The 16,392-nt window shown below is 40.3% G+C and overlaps 1 protein-coding gene and 1 long non-coding RNA gene across 4 annotated transcripts in view; one reads left to right on the plus strand and one right to left on the minus strand.

Annotated features, from left to right (window-relative positions):
* Window positions 1-16,392, minus strand: part of C1QTNF7-AS1 (C1QTNF7 antisense RNA 1) — a 422,973-nt gene that overhangs the window by 321,588 nt on the left and 84,993 nt on the right. The window lies entirely within an intron of this gene.
* The window catches only part of C1QTNF7 (C1q and TNF related 7), a 106,382-nt gene continuing 103,246 nt past the window's right edge, over window positions 13,257-16,392 (plus strand). For 2 of the 3 annotated variants that reach the window (XM_047449566.1, NM_001135170.2), the window contains exon 1: window positions 13,459-13,678. Coding sequence is in view for 2 of the 3 variants with exons in the window: in NM_001135170.2 (NP_001128642.1) it covers window positions 13,666-13,678 (13 nt within the window). In the remaining variant the exon portion in view is untranslated. Of the gene's footprint in view, window positions 13,350-13,458; window positions 13,679-16,392 lie in introns of those variants that run through there. The other variant, XM_011513772.2, reaches the window with a different exon arrangement.

Consider the following 16,392-nt stretch of genomic DNA (forward strand, 5'->3'; position numbering starts at 1 on the left):
TATGTTGCGATCAGTGGGAGGAGGCTTTCTGCCTTTTAGGGCACATGGGATCAGATCGGGCCCACCCCAGATCTTAAGGTCAACTGTATCATATAATGAAACTTCATCAGTGGAGTGATATTTCATCACATTCACACATTTTCAGGATTACAGTGGGACATCTTTGAGAGACCAGGAGCTCATCTTTGAATTCTGCCTATCACACCAGTGAGTTCCATGTACAATATTAGAGCTTGAAAATCACTATTTTATAACATTTAGAATTATGGATTCATCCACATGCTTCATTCTAAAAATGTATGTCACAGGAGATTCTCACAATGTGGCTAACAAATATAGCTCATTTGAGATTGTGCTTGCACATGCATTATCTCATTTCATTCTCCAAACAGCATGGGTATGAAGAAGACACTTCCCTTCTCAGGGAGCCTCAGTGTCCTGCTGCAGACTTGCTATGTTACCTAAGGCAGGTAACTCAGCCTCCTCAGTTACCTGCCCTTTGTGCACAGAACAGCTAGTGTTCGAACCCAAACTCCCACTTAAAAGTCAACCATGCTTTCTCCTTCTCTCCTTCCTCCAAATAACATCCCCGTACACTTACCCCAATACATATGCTGGTGTTAGTAGATTATTATAAAAGCAACTCTGGTATTAAGCACATTTTTACCGAAGCACAAAAGACTGATAGATTGACTCATTAATTGGTTCAGCAATTATACAGTGAGTGACTGGCTGCTATGTGACAGGCTTGTTCATTTGTGACCAGGACCAACTCAAATCCTTATCTTCACCGGAGTGGCATGCCAGCAGCTAGACAACAGCTGAGCATTCCAGGACTAATGGCATAGGATGACTATGAGGGGTTCAAACCTGGTCTAGGAGGCTCAGGAAACCCTACCATTGTGGTTTGCAATTTATGAGAGTTAATCCAAAGAGAGAGCATTTAAGTAGCATTTTTGAGGATATATTTTTGGATTGGTGTCTTTTCTCTAAAATGCCTCAAACCACACCACACCCTGAGTGTAATGTAGGCATATTTGAAGGCAGGAAACATGGTCTCTAGACCTGGCATCAGCAGCTGTCATTGGGAACATCATGTCCTAGCTCTGAGCCTCTGCTTTTGAAAAACGATGTTTGGAGAAAAATAACTCTGTGGTCTGTCTGTTAAAGGACACTGCTCTAGAGATAGTGGTGAGATGTAAGGAGGAGCTCATAGAACGAGAGGGCCAAACACCTGGAAACCATCTCTTAGAAACCACCCCAGCCCTGGTGACCCCAGGCTCTGCTGTCAGTCCACTGAGCTGGGTGGACAGCTGGATCTAGTCACTAAGCAAAACCCAGAAAAGCTGGTGGCAACAGAGTGGGCCAAAAAGAGGTGCCCTGGAAGAACTCTACTGCGGACAACTTTCTGCACAGTGCTTCCTCATGCCTGAAGCAAACAACTGGGTTCAGTAATGTCATGGATCCCTTCCAGCTATGGGACTAGATTCTTGTTGAAAACACCAAACGATATCCCTCAGCATCCACCATCAGCCACTTTCTCTTTTGACGTTTTAACAGTTCAGATGGAAAACGGTTGGGAACTCAGTTTCTGATGCCTAGTGAGTCATGTCATCAAGTTAAGTGATACCATCTGCATACTTTGTTTCATCTGGAAGGCTTTTAAAGTATTTTTTAAGGAGTTGAAACAGCTGGCCACCAGATGCCAGTCTCCACTTCTTAAGTTGTGTTGGTGGCTTATAGTTGGGATAACCTGACCAATCCTTACTCAAGTTGGTGCCTAGTTACCTCTAGGCTGGACTTTTGTTGTTATGTGGCATTTAAATCCAGGACAATGGAAGGTTTAATGAAAAGAAGGTAAAGATGAGCAAGAAGTATTGTCCTAAGGATAGAGTGGCTGTAGCCAATAAAAGTTTTCGAATTTTAGTTTAGAACCTTGTGCCTAGATAAGTAAATAAATTAAAATAAATATATAAAAATAAGACCAGTTTGTAGGTAATAATTCAAAACAACTACCAAATCGCAGTACATTTCAATATTTTCCAACATTTATCAGACATATATCTGTGATACGATAATATGAGGACGACTCACAGCATGTCTGAAGATCAATAAATCATCATAATTTTTGCCAAATACTATAGCATTTGCTTTTCTGAACAGAACATGCAAGCTGAAGGGAAGAGTCAGAATTCTCAAGATAATTGAGGAAATTATTTGCAGGGTTTTTTTTTTTTTGTCTAAATCAATTTTGTAATAAAATGCAACTGTTTTATATGTACAGTTCAGTGAGTTGTGACCACTGTCTACCATTGTAACCAACACCACAATCAAGACATAGGAAATTCCCATCACCCTCTAACGCTTTGCTGGAGCCCCTTTGCTTTCAGTCCTACTCCTATCCCCAGTCCAGGCAACCAGTGATCGGCTTTGTCACTATTGATTGGTTTTGCCTGTTCTAGAATTTCATGAAATCACACAGTATCTTCTCTTTTGTATCTGGTTTCTTTGGCTCAGCATAGTGTTTATGAGATTTGTCCATGTTACATATATCAGATAGGATTTACACAATTTATTTATGTATTCACCTATTGATGGACATTTGGATTGTTTCCAGTTTTATTGCTGATATGGTTTGACTGTGTTCCCACTCAAATCTCACCTTGACTTGTAATAATCCCACCGTGTCAAGGGCAGGACCAGGTGAACATAATTGAATCATGGGGGTAGTTTCCCCCATACTGTTCTCACGGCAGTGAGTAATTCTCACAGATCTGATAGTTTTACAAATGAGGCTCTCCTGCACAAGCTCTCTTTGCCTGTTGCCATGTGAGATGCGACTTTGCTCCTCATTCACCTTCCGCCATGATTGCAAGGCTTCCCCAGCCATGTGGAACTGTGAGTTAATTAAACCTCTTTCCTTTACAAATTACCCAGTCTCAGATATGTCTTTATTAGCAGCATGAGAACAGACTAATACAATTGCTGAGTAGTGTCTTATCATTTGGATGTAATATAGATATATCACAAATTGTTCATTTATTCACTTATAGATGGATATTGTATTTCCATTTTTTTGCTATCATAAACTAGGCTGCTATGAATATTTTTTATTAACTTCTTTTTGGCTTACATCTGTAATCTGAACACTTTGGGAGGCCAAGGTGGGAGGATTACCTGAGCTCACAAATTTGAGATTAGCCTGGGCAACAAAGTGAGACCCTGTCTCTACCAAAAAAAAAAAAAATTGTTTAAATTAGCCTCTACAAAAAAAAAATGTTTAAATTAGCCAGGTGTAGTGGCATGCCCCTGTGGTCCCAACTACATAGGAGGCTGAAGCAGGAGGATCGCTTGGGCCCAGGAGGTCGAGCCTGCAGTGAGCCATGTTCGTACCACTGCACGGGTGGTTCGTACCACTGCACAGCCTGGGTGACACAGTGAGACCCTGTCTAAAAAAAATAAAAATAAAAACAAACAAACAAAAAACTATTGTAGACATATTCTTTCATTTATCTTGGGTAAATAACCTAAGAATGGAATTGCTAGGTTTCATGATAAGGGCATATTTAAGTTTTTATGAAAGTGCCAAACAGTGGTTGTCCCATTTTATATTCTCATCAGCACTGCACCAGAGTTCTAGTTGCTCCATATACTTGTCAGCTTTTGGCACTGTTAATCTTACATTTTAGCCTTGATAGTAGGTATGTAGTGTTGCATTACTATATTTTAAACTTGCATTTCCCTAATGAGATGGACATTTACAATATGTTTTAAGGTCAGAAGAAATGACAACTGGACTCAGGAGCAAAGAAGGAAGGTTAATGGGTTGAGTTACCATATATTCTGGTGTGTCAAAGACAGTCTTGGTTTACACTTAGTATTCTGGTGTAATACTGCATTAGTCAGCTCAGGCTGCCATAACACAACACCATAGTCTAGGTGGCTTAAACAACAGAAATTTATTTCTCTTGGCTCTGGAATTGGCCAAGTTCAAGATCAAGGTGCCAGCAAATTCAGTTCCCCAATAAAAGTTTTCCTTCTTGTTTGGAGACAGCTGCCTCCTCTCTGTGTCCTCACATATTAGAAAGTGAAGAAGCAAGCTCTCTCATGTTTCTTCTTATGAGGACAATCATCCCATCATGAGGGCCACCCTCATGACCTCATCCAAACTTAATTACCTTACAAAGGTCCCACCTCCAAATACCATCACATTGGAAGATAGGGCTTCAACATGTGAATTTGGAGGACACAGCTCAGCTCATAGCCTTGTAATGGCAAGGCTTTGAATTAAGTTTTGCTGTTCAATGTGTGATGTAATCCATCTCTTCCCAAAGCCTTTAGTAAATCTACATCTCTCATCAACTTTTAAGTTCGGATTTGTGTTTATAAATCTGATCCCAAGAGCAGCTTGCCCAACAAGACCCCTTCATATTCATGCTACAATTATTGTAGGTTTCAATTATATTAAAAAGTATGCCCTACTATTAAGAATGATATAATGAACTTTGTGGACTAAGAGGAGGAAGGTTGGGAGTGGGTGAAGGATAAAAGACTACAAACTGGATACAGTGTACACTGCTTGGGTGACGATGCACTAAAATCTCAGAAATCACCACTAAAGAACTTATCCATGTAACCAAAAACTACATGTACCCCAAAAATCATTGAAATAAAAAGTATGCACTACTCTATGCTTCATACTATTGAACCATTAGCTTTCTTCTAGATACAGTCTGGTATTTTGGTTTGAAGAATGAAGCTTACAGCATAAATTGTGATGCAAATTTCAAAAAACAATATTATCAATGAAAACATATAATATCAAGTTTGAGCTAATTTGAAAATAAATTTGAACATTTATCCTCTCATAGATTTCTATAACATTTTCTTTTGACCCTTTGTGAATTGAAAGAATCATACTCCATAATCAGGTATGAGTTTATTCATGAAAGCAAAATAAAAGTTGAGCCAAGGATTCTGTCCATTCCTGAGACCAAATCCAAGTGAACATGTTTTTTTTTTTTTAACTTTATTCCCATTCTTCTTTCATTCTGGCAATAATCTATCATCAGAATGTAATCATTTCAATTTAATATTATCTCTTCCTCATTAGGGTTCACAAGATAATGCCCATCCCCAAGCATTGTATCTGATAGCACTTAATGATTGTTTGAAAATGGGTGAAAGCATGCATGCGCACCTGAAATTTACTTCCTAAGTCTGACCACCTTTTCACTATATAACCTTTCAAATGGTTTCAGTCTTGTGTGGCTTCCTTTGGCATTTTTTAAAATGTGTAGATAAACACAGGATATTATGTGAAGCACCATGGATAATAGAAAGTTACAAAAGTTCAAGACATAATCCCAGCTCTTGAAAAACTTAGACTTTAGTATAGGAAAATGAAAACCACACGCACACACACAAAGGCACATACATGAAGAGTATGACATGGAGCAGAAAGTGGTAAGTACCCTGTGAGTGAGATAAACTACTACAGCTTGACAGCATTGAGATTCCTTGTAAACAGAGCTTTACTCTGCCAAGAGAACTATGCATGCAAGAATTAATAGCCAAGTGAGGGATAAAGTCATGCTTTTATTAACAGCTGAACCAGTGCCCATTAATACCACCCTCTGGTCGGGGAGAAGAAAAACTGATCTCTGGGAGTGGTGTTGAAAAGCACAAGGCTTATGCTTCGAAGTTGAAACAAACCTTGCTACTCTCAGCTTCTAACCCCTTAATCTGCAAAGCCAGTGCTAAATCCAGGTTTTTTTTTTACTCAACTATACAGACCCAAGATCTAAAACACACTAAAATAATGGTGGATTCACTCTGTAGGGAGATGACTTGCCTGTAACTACACGAAAACAGAAAACTGAAAATCATCCACCTCACCTGAGGACAGGAAAAAAAATATGTACACAAGAGGATTGCCCACCCTAAGAAGATAGATAATTCCTTGTTCTACCACAGAATAGGAGGAGAATTCAGCCAAAGAAGCCGTAAACATTCAACGTTGCGTCCCCACAAATAGTGAATCATGGCCAGTGAATTACATTCTTGGACCAAGCAGATGATAATGCCTTTTCTGTTAGAGGGAAACTAGACAAGGGAAAGAAGATTATGGAAAGGGAAGGCAAGTATCATTACATGAATGTGCTTTGCACAATATTTGTACCATAATGTGCTCCTCAAGTTAGCATTCTTTGAACCAAGTGTTTTGTTGTAAAACATAGAATATTTTACCCCTTAGTAGAAGACCAAATGCACCAATGGTACCAGTATTTTCCACCTTCGTGTATCCATGTCATTTGGTGGACTCTTTCAGTGACTCTCTGGTCTTGAGCATGACACTTGTGTTAGCCAATGGGTCAATAGCAAACTTGATGCAAACAAAGACTTGAAAAAGTACTTGAATATTTCCAGCTTTTCCCTTGGGCTCTCTCAACTGCCTGAGAACATGTCCAGACTATCCTGCTGGAGGATGAGACACACGGAGCAGAGCCAGTTACCCAGCCAAAGCCATCCTAGACCATCCAACAGCCAGAAGACCACTAGACATGTGATAGTCAGCCTCAGCCAAGACCATAACTGCCCAGCCAAGCACATCCAAGATCAGCAAAACTCCCCAGGCAACCCACAGATTTATGAGGAATAATAAATGGTTACTGTTTCAAGTCACTAAGTTTGGGGGGTTTTTTAATATGGAAATAGTTAATTGACATGCCCCTCTTGGAGATTCCCATATATAACTATGATCTTCCAAACTTCTTTTACCATGGAACATTTTAAGAGTATAATTCCACAGACAATACTCTAGGGAAACACTAGATTTTTAAAAAATGTAATAATAGAAGTGCTACAGGGTGCCAATTTTAGAGATATAACAAAGAAAAGACAATGTGGATTTGATGACTGAATGTTTTGGGGAAGAACAGGAAGTAAAACCAATAACATGTGTTTAAAATCCTGAACACTTGAGAAGACTGTGGTATTAATGACAGAATTAGGCAACTAAGGAAGAGTGGGTTTAAGGGGAAAAAGTTGTGATACAGTTTGAGATATTAAACCTGAAGGAAATGCACTACCTCCAGGAAGTGAGATCCTGCAAGCATTAGAAAAGCACAAATGATGCCGAAGGAGAGGTTGCATTGTCCTGTAGATTCTAAATGGTGAACACCTGACCCATGAAAGGAGCCCATGCACAGGATGAGAGTCAAGGGCTAATTAAGGAGTCTCAGATAGGTGTAATATAGGTGGCCACAATATGCAGAGGCCAACAGTGGGAAAATGACTTCTCAAGGCCAATAGCAGAGTTGAGTCTCTAACTCAGACTTTTGATTTCTTCGTCACCTTACCACACTGCTCATGAGTCATTTAGCCACTAATTAGATATTGGCTCACTGGAGGGCATCCAACCAAGATGGTAACCTAATTGGAATCATATTGCATGAAGAACACTTAAAATCATTGAACTTGAAGAAAGGGAGGTAAAGTTGTTGGGTGGGGGGAAGGCTGAAAATTACCTTTGGATATCTGAAAGGCTCTTGCATGTGGAAAACAGAGCAGAAATAGTCACTGTTGCTCAGAGAATTATTCTAATGCCATGTGAAGCCATGGCCCCCTTCCCTAGGAGCAGTCCAGCAAAAGTGGTGTGGCCATCTGCCAAGGACGTGCAGATGGATCAGAAATAGAGTGAGAGAGTGAGTTAAAACACTCTCAAGTCTTATTCCAAATCTCTGATCCTGCAGTCTACAAACAGATCTTTTCTAGTCTCCTTTTCTAGTTTTGACTATCTGCAATAAGTTGACCTGCTACCCTAAATCACCAAGGAAGTAAAAAGAAGCCTTCAGATTTGCTCACCATGACCGAAACCAATGAAAAGTGACTCAGAGACTGCAAACTTAAAGACATGACTTCTGTGTCTCCAGTACTCCACAGTGACAAGCACATGGTGGGCATCTGTGTGCCATCTGACAATTGGGAAGAAACTCAGCACCTCCTGAGTGGCTTCCCTTTGAAGTTGGGTTAGATCATTTTCTACCACTCTGAATAAAAGCATTTCAGTTGAGTTCCAATCTCTAAACATTAGTAATGTATACCAAGGGGAACATGGGGTTTTCAAGCAAGTCTCATTTTTCCTTGACCTCTTCCTCAGTGTCTTCACATGTTTGATAGAACTCAGCAAAGACTGTATTATAAAATCCAGATGAAGCTACCTGGGTTTCAGGATATAATTTGAAACTTGGATGCTGCATGCAAGCAAAGGAGTATAAATAAAGTTAACATACAAAGCCTAATATATGAAAAACATGAAAAATGCTCAAGGCTTATAATTGCATTCAGATAGGAAAGTGTTTGCTGCCTCTAGTAGTTTAGAACATCTTTCAGAAGTAATCTGTACTCATCTCAAATACCCATCTTAGCAATGAATACCTAGGAAAATACATGGTTTAAGCATATTTTCTTCATTTGACATGAATATGTTTTCACCAACACTTGAGAGCTTGGATTGCTGGAAACAAACAGCCTAGGTTCAAATCCCAGATTTGTTTCTTACCTTCTGTGTGACATTGAGCTGGTCACTTAACCTCTGCATTTCACAGTCTCCATTGGTAAAATAAGGATAATGTTGGTATCTACTTCATAGGCTTGTTGGCAGCATACGATGAGTTTGTACATTTATAGAGCACTAAAATACTGCCTAATACATAGTTAACGCTCAATGAATGTTTGCAATTATTGTTACTGTTGCTTTGAAATCATAGAAGGAAAAAAGGGTCTGACCCATTTTTAAAAGGTCTGTGGAATGAAGGAAGCTGCATTTCTAGTGGAAATGCTCCAAATACCTGAGGAGGAAACAAAGTGTATGAACTAGGACTTTCTGTACCTCTCTCTGTTCAGAGCAGTTCAAAGCCAGTAGGAAAAGCATGTGGCCTCAGTGAATGGCAGTTTGTAGGAAAATTAGCTCTTGGTCAGCATTAATAAGACATTTACTCTATTTCCACTGAGAAGCAGCCTGGAACAGTCAATGTCAGAACACACAGTAAAGCAAACATTTAGGCAAGTGGAGTTTATAGCAGTAAATGCTACGGAGAGTATTTAACTTGTATTAATAACTTGGAGTTTATAAATTCCTTTACGCTCTGCTTTGAAGGTTGTTCATGAAAATCTAATAGTAAGTCATTGGATAATTTTCTTAATAAATGCATACATTTTTAAAAGATGGAGAGTAAATTTTGTTTTCAACATCTATTTCTCTCACTAATCTTTCCATGATTTTCAATTTACTTAGCCTATTAGCACACAATTTATAAAGCTCAAATTTGTACAAGTACTCACAACTGGCATTTAGCTGGATTGTCTTTGCAAGGGCAAGAAAGTAGGGATTTACAGTTAACATAAAAATAGCTATCAAAGGGCAAACAGTTTCAGTTATATATGATGAATAAATCCCAGATATTTATCATACAGCATAGTATCTATAGTTAACAATACTTATTGTATGCTTAAACATTTGCTAAGAGAAAAGAAATTATATGAAGTGTTCTTATGACAAAATAACAATAATAATAAATAAGGAGGGAGAAAAAAATTTTGGGGGGAGATGAATATATAGGTGGCATTGATTGTGGTTTCACTGATGTATATTTATCTCCAAACTCATCAAGTTGTACACATTAAATACGTATAGCATATTGTATACCATTATACCTCAATATGGTATTCTATAAAACAGCTCTCATTTGTTGAGCATTTACTATTGGGTTGGAAACTTTTCTCCATTCTTTAAATATAATATTTTACTTAATGGTCCAAGAAGCTTTCAAAGTGCTTGTATTAGAGCAACTGACACTAGCTAACTATGACAAATATATCCCAAAACTCGATGGAGAGACACAATGTAAGTGTGTATACTATTCAGGAAGATTCGATGCAGGCTAAGCAACTCTCCTAGGCAGCAGACCACTGAGGGATCCCCCAGGGTTCAGCCTTCCTTCTATTACTGGGCTCCACCTCCTCTGAGTCATTTGCTTCCTGCCACATGGAGAGAAGGAGAAAGAATGTGGAGTAGGCACATCAGCTCTTGATTACCTCAGCCCAGAAGTACCCACCCCATGACTTCTGCTCACGTCCCATTGACCAAAAATCAATCATACAGTCAACCACACTGCAAAGGAGGCTGGGAAATGTAGAAGAATACACAAGCATCAGTAAGCACCAAAAGTATCTGCCATAGTTTACTCCCTGGTTACCAAGAATCAATGTCCTCTCCTCTTTCCAAACAACAGAACATCCCTACTGCCCCTGCCACTGCCCCCACTCCAACCCCTGAGAGTAAGCAACCTCTAATCCCACCGCTCACTGCATTCAGCACCTCCAAGGTAATCTGGACTTCTGGGGCATGTGGAGTTCGCTGCGTAACTCTGGGTGTGGCTGTCTCTTGATCCAGTGACCTATGAACTAGAAAGGAAGTGATCTATGAATGAAACGTACAAGTTCTCTCTCTCTCACACACACACACACACACACACACACACACACGTACACACTGTGTTAGTCTGTTTTCATGCTGCTGATAAAGACATACCCAAGGCTGGGTGATTTATAAGGAAAAAGAGGTTTAATGGATCCAAGGTTCCACGTGACTGGGGAGGCCTCACAATCATGGTGGAAGGCAAAAGGCATGTCTTACATGGCAGCAGGCAAGAGAGAATGAGAATCAAGTGAAAGAGAGAAAAAAAAGAAGGAAAAAAAACAGAAACGAAAATAAAAAGAGAATCAAGAAAAAGGGATTTCCCCTTACAAAACCATCAGACCTCATGAGATTTATTCACTACCATGAGAACAGCATGGGAGAACAACCCCCATGATTCAATTATCTCCCACCTGGTCCCTTCCACAACATGTGGAAATTATGGGAACTACAATTCAAGATAAGATTTGGGTGGGAACACAGCCAAACCATATCTCATACACACACACACACACACACACACAAACACACAATGTAATAGCAATAAGAGAACCATAATATAAAATCCAATTTGGAAAAGGGAAGAATGGGAAACAGAGCAGCCACTGATGCCCAGGCTGGCCAGGCCAACATAGTAAAGGCTCACTACCTTGTAGGTGGAGTTGGTTCTTGGCTGTGGTTCTGCTCTCCAGGGAATATTACTTTGTCCACCAAAGGAGTATTTCTCTGTGGCCACCAGTTCTTCCTTCTGAGAGGCTCCCCTTGCCCATTCTCCTTGGCCACCTCAGAGGTGGGTTTCGGGGAGCTTTCCCTCCATGCAGGCCTACAGCCAGCCTCCTGCCAGTGGGAGAAGTTGTTCCCAGCCTTGAGAGATATTTGTAGTACAGGATTACAGGTTTTTTGTTTTTAGCAATATACATCCCTCAAAAAATTGGAGGCTACTACAAGCCATCAAATGTAGGTACTCTTTCCCAACTCCCTCTTATTTCTGTTTATAAATTAGCTATTTCTTTCCTGAGCTCATCTCATTCTTGAAACACTTTGCCAAATGCACTCAAAAGTACCCAACACACATAACTAACATTCTCTCCCCATCCTTTTCCCTTAGAGCTACAGAGTTACTTAGCACATATTGCCTTACAAACTGTCATAGGTGTCAGTTTCACCAAATGTTTAGCTACTGCGAAACATGGAACTTCATCTTTCCAGCCTTTGATATCAGTTCCCTTGACACTCACAATGAGGCCAATGCCACTATGTTTAGGTTTGTGTCAGAGCAGCATCCCATGCCCATTATCAGTTTTGAAACGGGTCAGGAAAAGCTAAGCTAGCTGCTATCATGAACATCCCTAAATCTCAGTGACTCCTCAGTAGGTCTTGTTAACTACCTGATGGGCAGCAAAGTGCTTAATTCATATTTGTTGTATACAATTATGTGAATAGATTGCTTTTACTTATTGGCATTTAATATTTCTCAACTGAGGAAACCAAAGCTCAAAGAAAGTAATACATCCAAGGTCACATAACTGGAATGTGGTAAATCCAGGATCTGAGTTCAGGTCTATGACACTACATGTGCTGGTGCCTGCAAATCTCTCCTCAGTGGAAATTAGAGTGAAAATAGACTCCATCTTTTCTCTGCATTCACAGCAATTAAAACCTAAAACTTGAACATTTCCTTGTAGTTTTAAATCCTTTCTTTCTTTGCATAATTAAAATCAGAGGTATTATCCTCTGCCCATTGCATAATAGTTATTTCAGGTGACTCAGAAAACATAGCAGAAAGGAAGCTATAGTTTTTGAAATAATGAATGAGGTTTGTTTCCTGAAACTTGTTTGCATAACTTTGCACAGTGAACATACTTAATAGATTATGCCCATGTCAATATTTCTATTATCTACCAATTGGTCTGTTTATTTAACTGATGTTTTCTATTCATTTAGGAAACTTTAATACATCATAACTATTCATTAATGTATGCCTGGCAAAGGTATGTATTGTCCTATGTTTACTTCTATACAAGCTTTGACATATTAACCATCTCTAATGGGAACATATACGCAAACCAAAATTGTCAAATCTGTTGGTTGGTGTGAACATATGCAATACTTTATTTATTCAGTATTTTTTGAGCACCTATTATCTATCAGGTACTAAGCAAGATCTGTTTTGAGATATACCATCAAATATTTTTCAAATCATCATTTTCAGTTGATCACACTGTAAGTTGGCTATAATTTGAATTCACAAATGCTCCTCTGTGTGTGTGTGTGTGTGTGTGTGTGTGTGTGTGTGTGTGGTTTAGTGGCAGTTGATGGAAAGTAGTAAAAATAATAACATTTGTAACATTGGTTACAGATCAAATGTCAGAAGATTTATTCAGCCACAGACACTGCAAAGTAAGCATCTTCTCTAGTTTATGATTCGTATGTAAGATAAAGTTTAAAATAAGACCAATGCAAACATCATTTTAGGTAGTTCCCCTTTTGTGAAAAAAATTGCATATAATAATTCCGATTTTTCATTCAGATAAATTAGGCACAAATTGCATGGAAATAATTCTGTTAGCAAAAGTGACGTTTAAACATAATTTCACTAGCATCACTTTTCCATAAGTTGGGGCATAAACTTTCCTATGTACTCTTTTTGCTTCCAGTGAAATGATATCATTTGGTCTTTAGGCATCACTTTAAAAGGCAAAGCAACTAGAAGTAACATGGTAAGAAGAGCAATGGATAAAAGAGAGAAAGAGAACTGTTTAGATACCTGAGACTCCTGCTTTTCATTTGCCTCAGTCTGGGGTTTGCAGAAGAACACTACCCACTCCTACTTGTTCTTAACTAGTGTATATATTAAGCTCTTTGAAATGTGAGTATTATGGGAAGGATCGCAGTTGCTTTAAATTATAGAAGTTGGCAAGTCCCTGGGAGAAGGAGTGGGAGGTTGTTTAAACTGAGAAAGACAGTTGCAAAACTTCGTACAACAGCATGAGCTCCAAGCTTCAAACGCATTCTCATGCTCAGACGAGCACTTTATTTTTCATCAAGTTATTTTTTGCATTGTTTTGGAGTAGCTTCGAATAATAAACACATATTTCTGCTTTAAATTTTTAATAGTTAACTACATTCATGGGACAACCAAAGCAAGAAAGCCTCATGTTTTGGGGGAAAGTTTGATATCAGCAATGTCCAGACAAGGTAAGCTACCATTTTCACTGCAGTTTTTCTCTTTTTCCCTCCTATTCGGCCTTCATCAAAATATTTCCTGGGAGAACTTAAGAAAGCTCCTTGTAAAGAAATGGGGGAACTTGTAAAAATATGTCAACAAATGATAAATCAGAGGTTAGAAAACCTCCGCAGGAGAGCGTTCTCCTACTTTCTATTCTGCTTGATTCATGAACCTCTGTAAATATCTTTCACTATATAAAAAATCCCATTTGTTTCAGAAAATGTAAGCGGAGTCTTCAAAATCTCCAATCTGATGAACTTAGCATTTGTCAGTGTGGTGACAGGCTAACTTATTCCCAAGGTCAGCTTATCTATGTTTTCTTATCCCCTTATATGCAACTCAACTTCCGGAGCTGTGATTCTTCTATTAACTTGGAAATGTTTCCCAAGGAAGATTTTAATATCTTTCCAAAAATCCTCCTAAGTGCAGTTACTATGGCTTCTTATTAACTTGTTTTGCAGAATATATTTTTAAAAGTTAAATAAATCATTTGTCTTTTCCCTTGTAATTGACACGGGAGGATGTTACAGATATTATATATCCTGGGAGAAGGAAACAGTTCAACTCAACATTCATTAATTCAAGTCACAGTCGGCTGACAATGTTATCTAAATAGGGTGACTTTGCCTTCTCGATTGTGCCTCATACACAGGTAGGGAGCAGCGAGGATAAGATATTTTCTTGTTTTTCTGTGCATTGGTCACTTGAGAAGTATCTTGTGCATTGAGGTGGAGGGGCATATAAATATGAGATGTGTTGTTCCCTTTTTCCCTGAGAATGTCTCTGTTATCAGTGTTCCCATCTGTCTGAGGCACAATTCCAGGTGCAAAAAACTAGATTGTCACAGAAATCTGCACATTCTTCCAGCAGGCTGAGATTTTATCACAGCTCCACATTCATTCCTTCACGCACACAAGCGTGCTCACAGGCAAAGATTATAAAACCCTGTGGATTTGACAGAGCTTGAGTGGTTTGCGACATTTAGGTGACCTCAGGCTGCAAAACCCACTGGTACAGAAACATTAGCAAGGCGAATTTCTCAGCCATTAGGCCTGGGTGAGCAATTTGAGGGCCGCCTGGGACCCTGCTCTTGGGCTGAGAGGGCTCTGCCTTCTTGCTATACCAGTTCTTTCTCTGTTTCTGGAATATTTTTTCTGTCTGTGTCAAATTCTAGTTACATAAAGTGGACTGTTGTGGCTTCCTCTGCCTCATGGTCTCAACGATAAGAAAGGGATTAAGGTTAAGAAGGACACTTTGCTCATTGCAGAGTGATCAGGAGACACCATTAGTTGCCTCTCTCCACCCATAGTTAATGCAGCGAGTGACCCGCGACTGCCAATTCCTTATCCTTCTCTTTCCCAAATCTTCTTCTATTCTCCCTTTCCCCTCCACTTCTGTCTACACCAGCCTATAGAACATTAAGAAAGGGAGCAGTGGGTCGGACACACAATATTACTGTCTCCTTCCCGGTCCTCTCGGACCATCCCCAGGCTGGTCGGGGAAGCCCCCACCCTATTTGGAGTGGGGTCTCCGGGGCCCCACCCATGACCTCATCGCAGGCAGCTCTAGAGCTGGGATGGCCAGCGTTTGCATGGCGCCTGAGTGCACCCTGGGGACGGGTGCGGCAGAGAAATGCACAGTGTGGCATGACGTGACTGCTGAGAAGCCGGAGCGCGAACTTCCTCACGGGCTCCAATGGAGGCTGGCGGCATCTCTGGAAGTCAGGCCCGCCAGGCCCCACCCCAGGGCCCCAGAGGGCCCCAAAGAGGACAAAAACAAAAAGGCTATTAGGGTTGCTAATGAAGCCCAAGCCAGCTGACTCATCTAAGGCGCAGTCACTGGGGGGCTTTGTAATGAAACCTGGACAGAGCCCTGGAAAGGACAGGTCAGGGTTGTCCCATAAAGGGCGCTGATGAGAGAGGCCCACAGTGACCTAATCGCACCTCCTCGCCTCCGAGAGGCTGGGAGAGAAAGGCAGCGTCTGCAAGGGACAAGAGTGTTAACCAATGAACTGCCGGGAGTGTGGCAGCCATGCTGTATTAGCTTTGGGTGTCAGCCAGGCTTAGTCCACGTTTCGGGCCACAAGTTTGTGAACCTGGACCTGAAATGCCCCAAGGTTAGGGATCAATGGCTGATGGGCTAGAAAAAGAGACCATGGTAATTCAATAAACCTTAACCGAGTGTCCACTCTGTGCCAGATACTTTATCAACGCTCTTTGAACGTGTCCTTGACAAAGACAGACCAAACATTAAAAACAGCATAGGAAAGATGGCAGGAACACAGAGGGGCTTTGCAAATCAGCCTGCTGAAATCAAAGAAAGCGTCCCACAAAGCTGTCCTTGAACTAGACCTTGAAAGATGAGTAAAATATCACGAAAGAGCCAAGAGGGCCAGGGGTCCCCAGGCAGAGGCCGGCAGGCAAAGGCACAGAGGTGCAAAGAGCATGGATGAGCCCATAAGACAAGTAGCTTGGGCCTGGCGGGGCTCTATTCCCCAAAGTGTCTTGCAATGAACAGCACTTTCATGGGTTATTATTATAATAGGAGGATAACCAAAAGTATTTCCTGGTCAGGCAAGTTTTGGAATGTTGAAAACTGTGCACCATGGTAGATCAGCGCTCTGGCTTAGGGGTCACAAACATCTGGCTTCAAATCCCAGCTCTGCTCCTTCAATGATGTATGA

Source organism: Homo sapiens, chromosome 4 (assembly GCF_000001405.40).
Source record: "Homo sapiens chromosome 4, GRCh38.p14 Primary Assembly".
Classification (NCBI taxonomy): domain Eukaryota; kingdom Metazoa; phylum Chordata; class Mammalia; order Primates; family Hominidae; genus Homo; species Homo sapiens.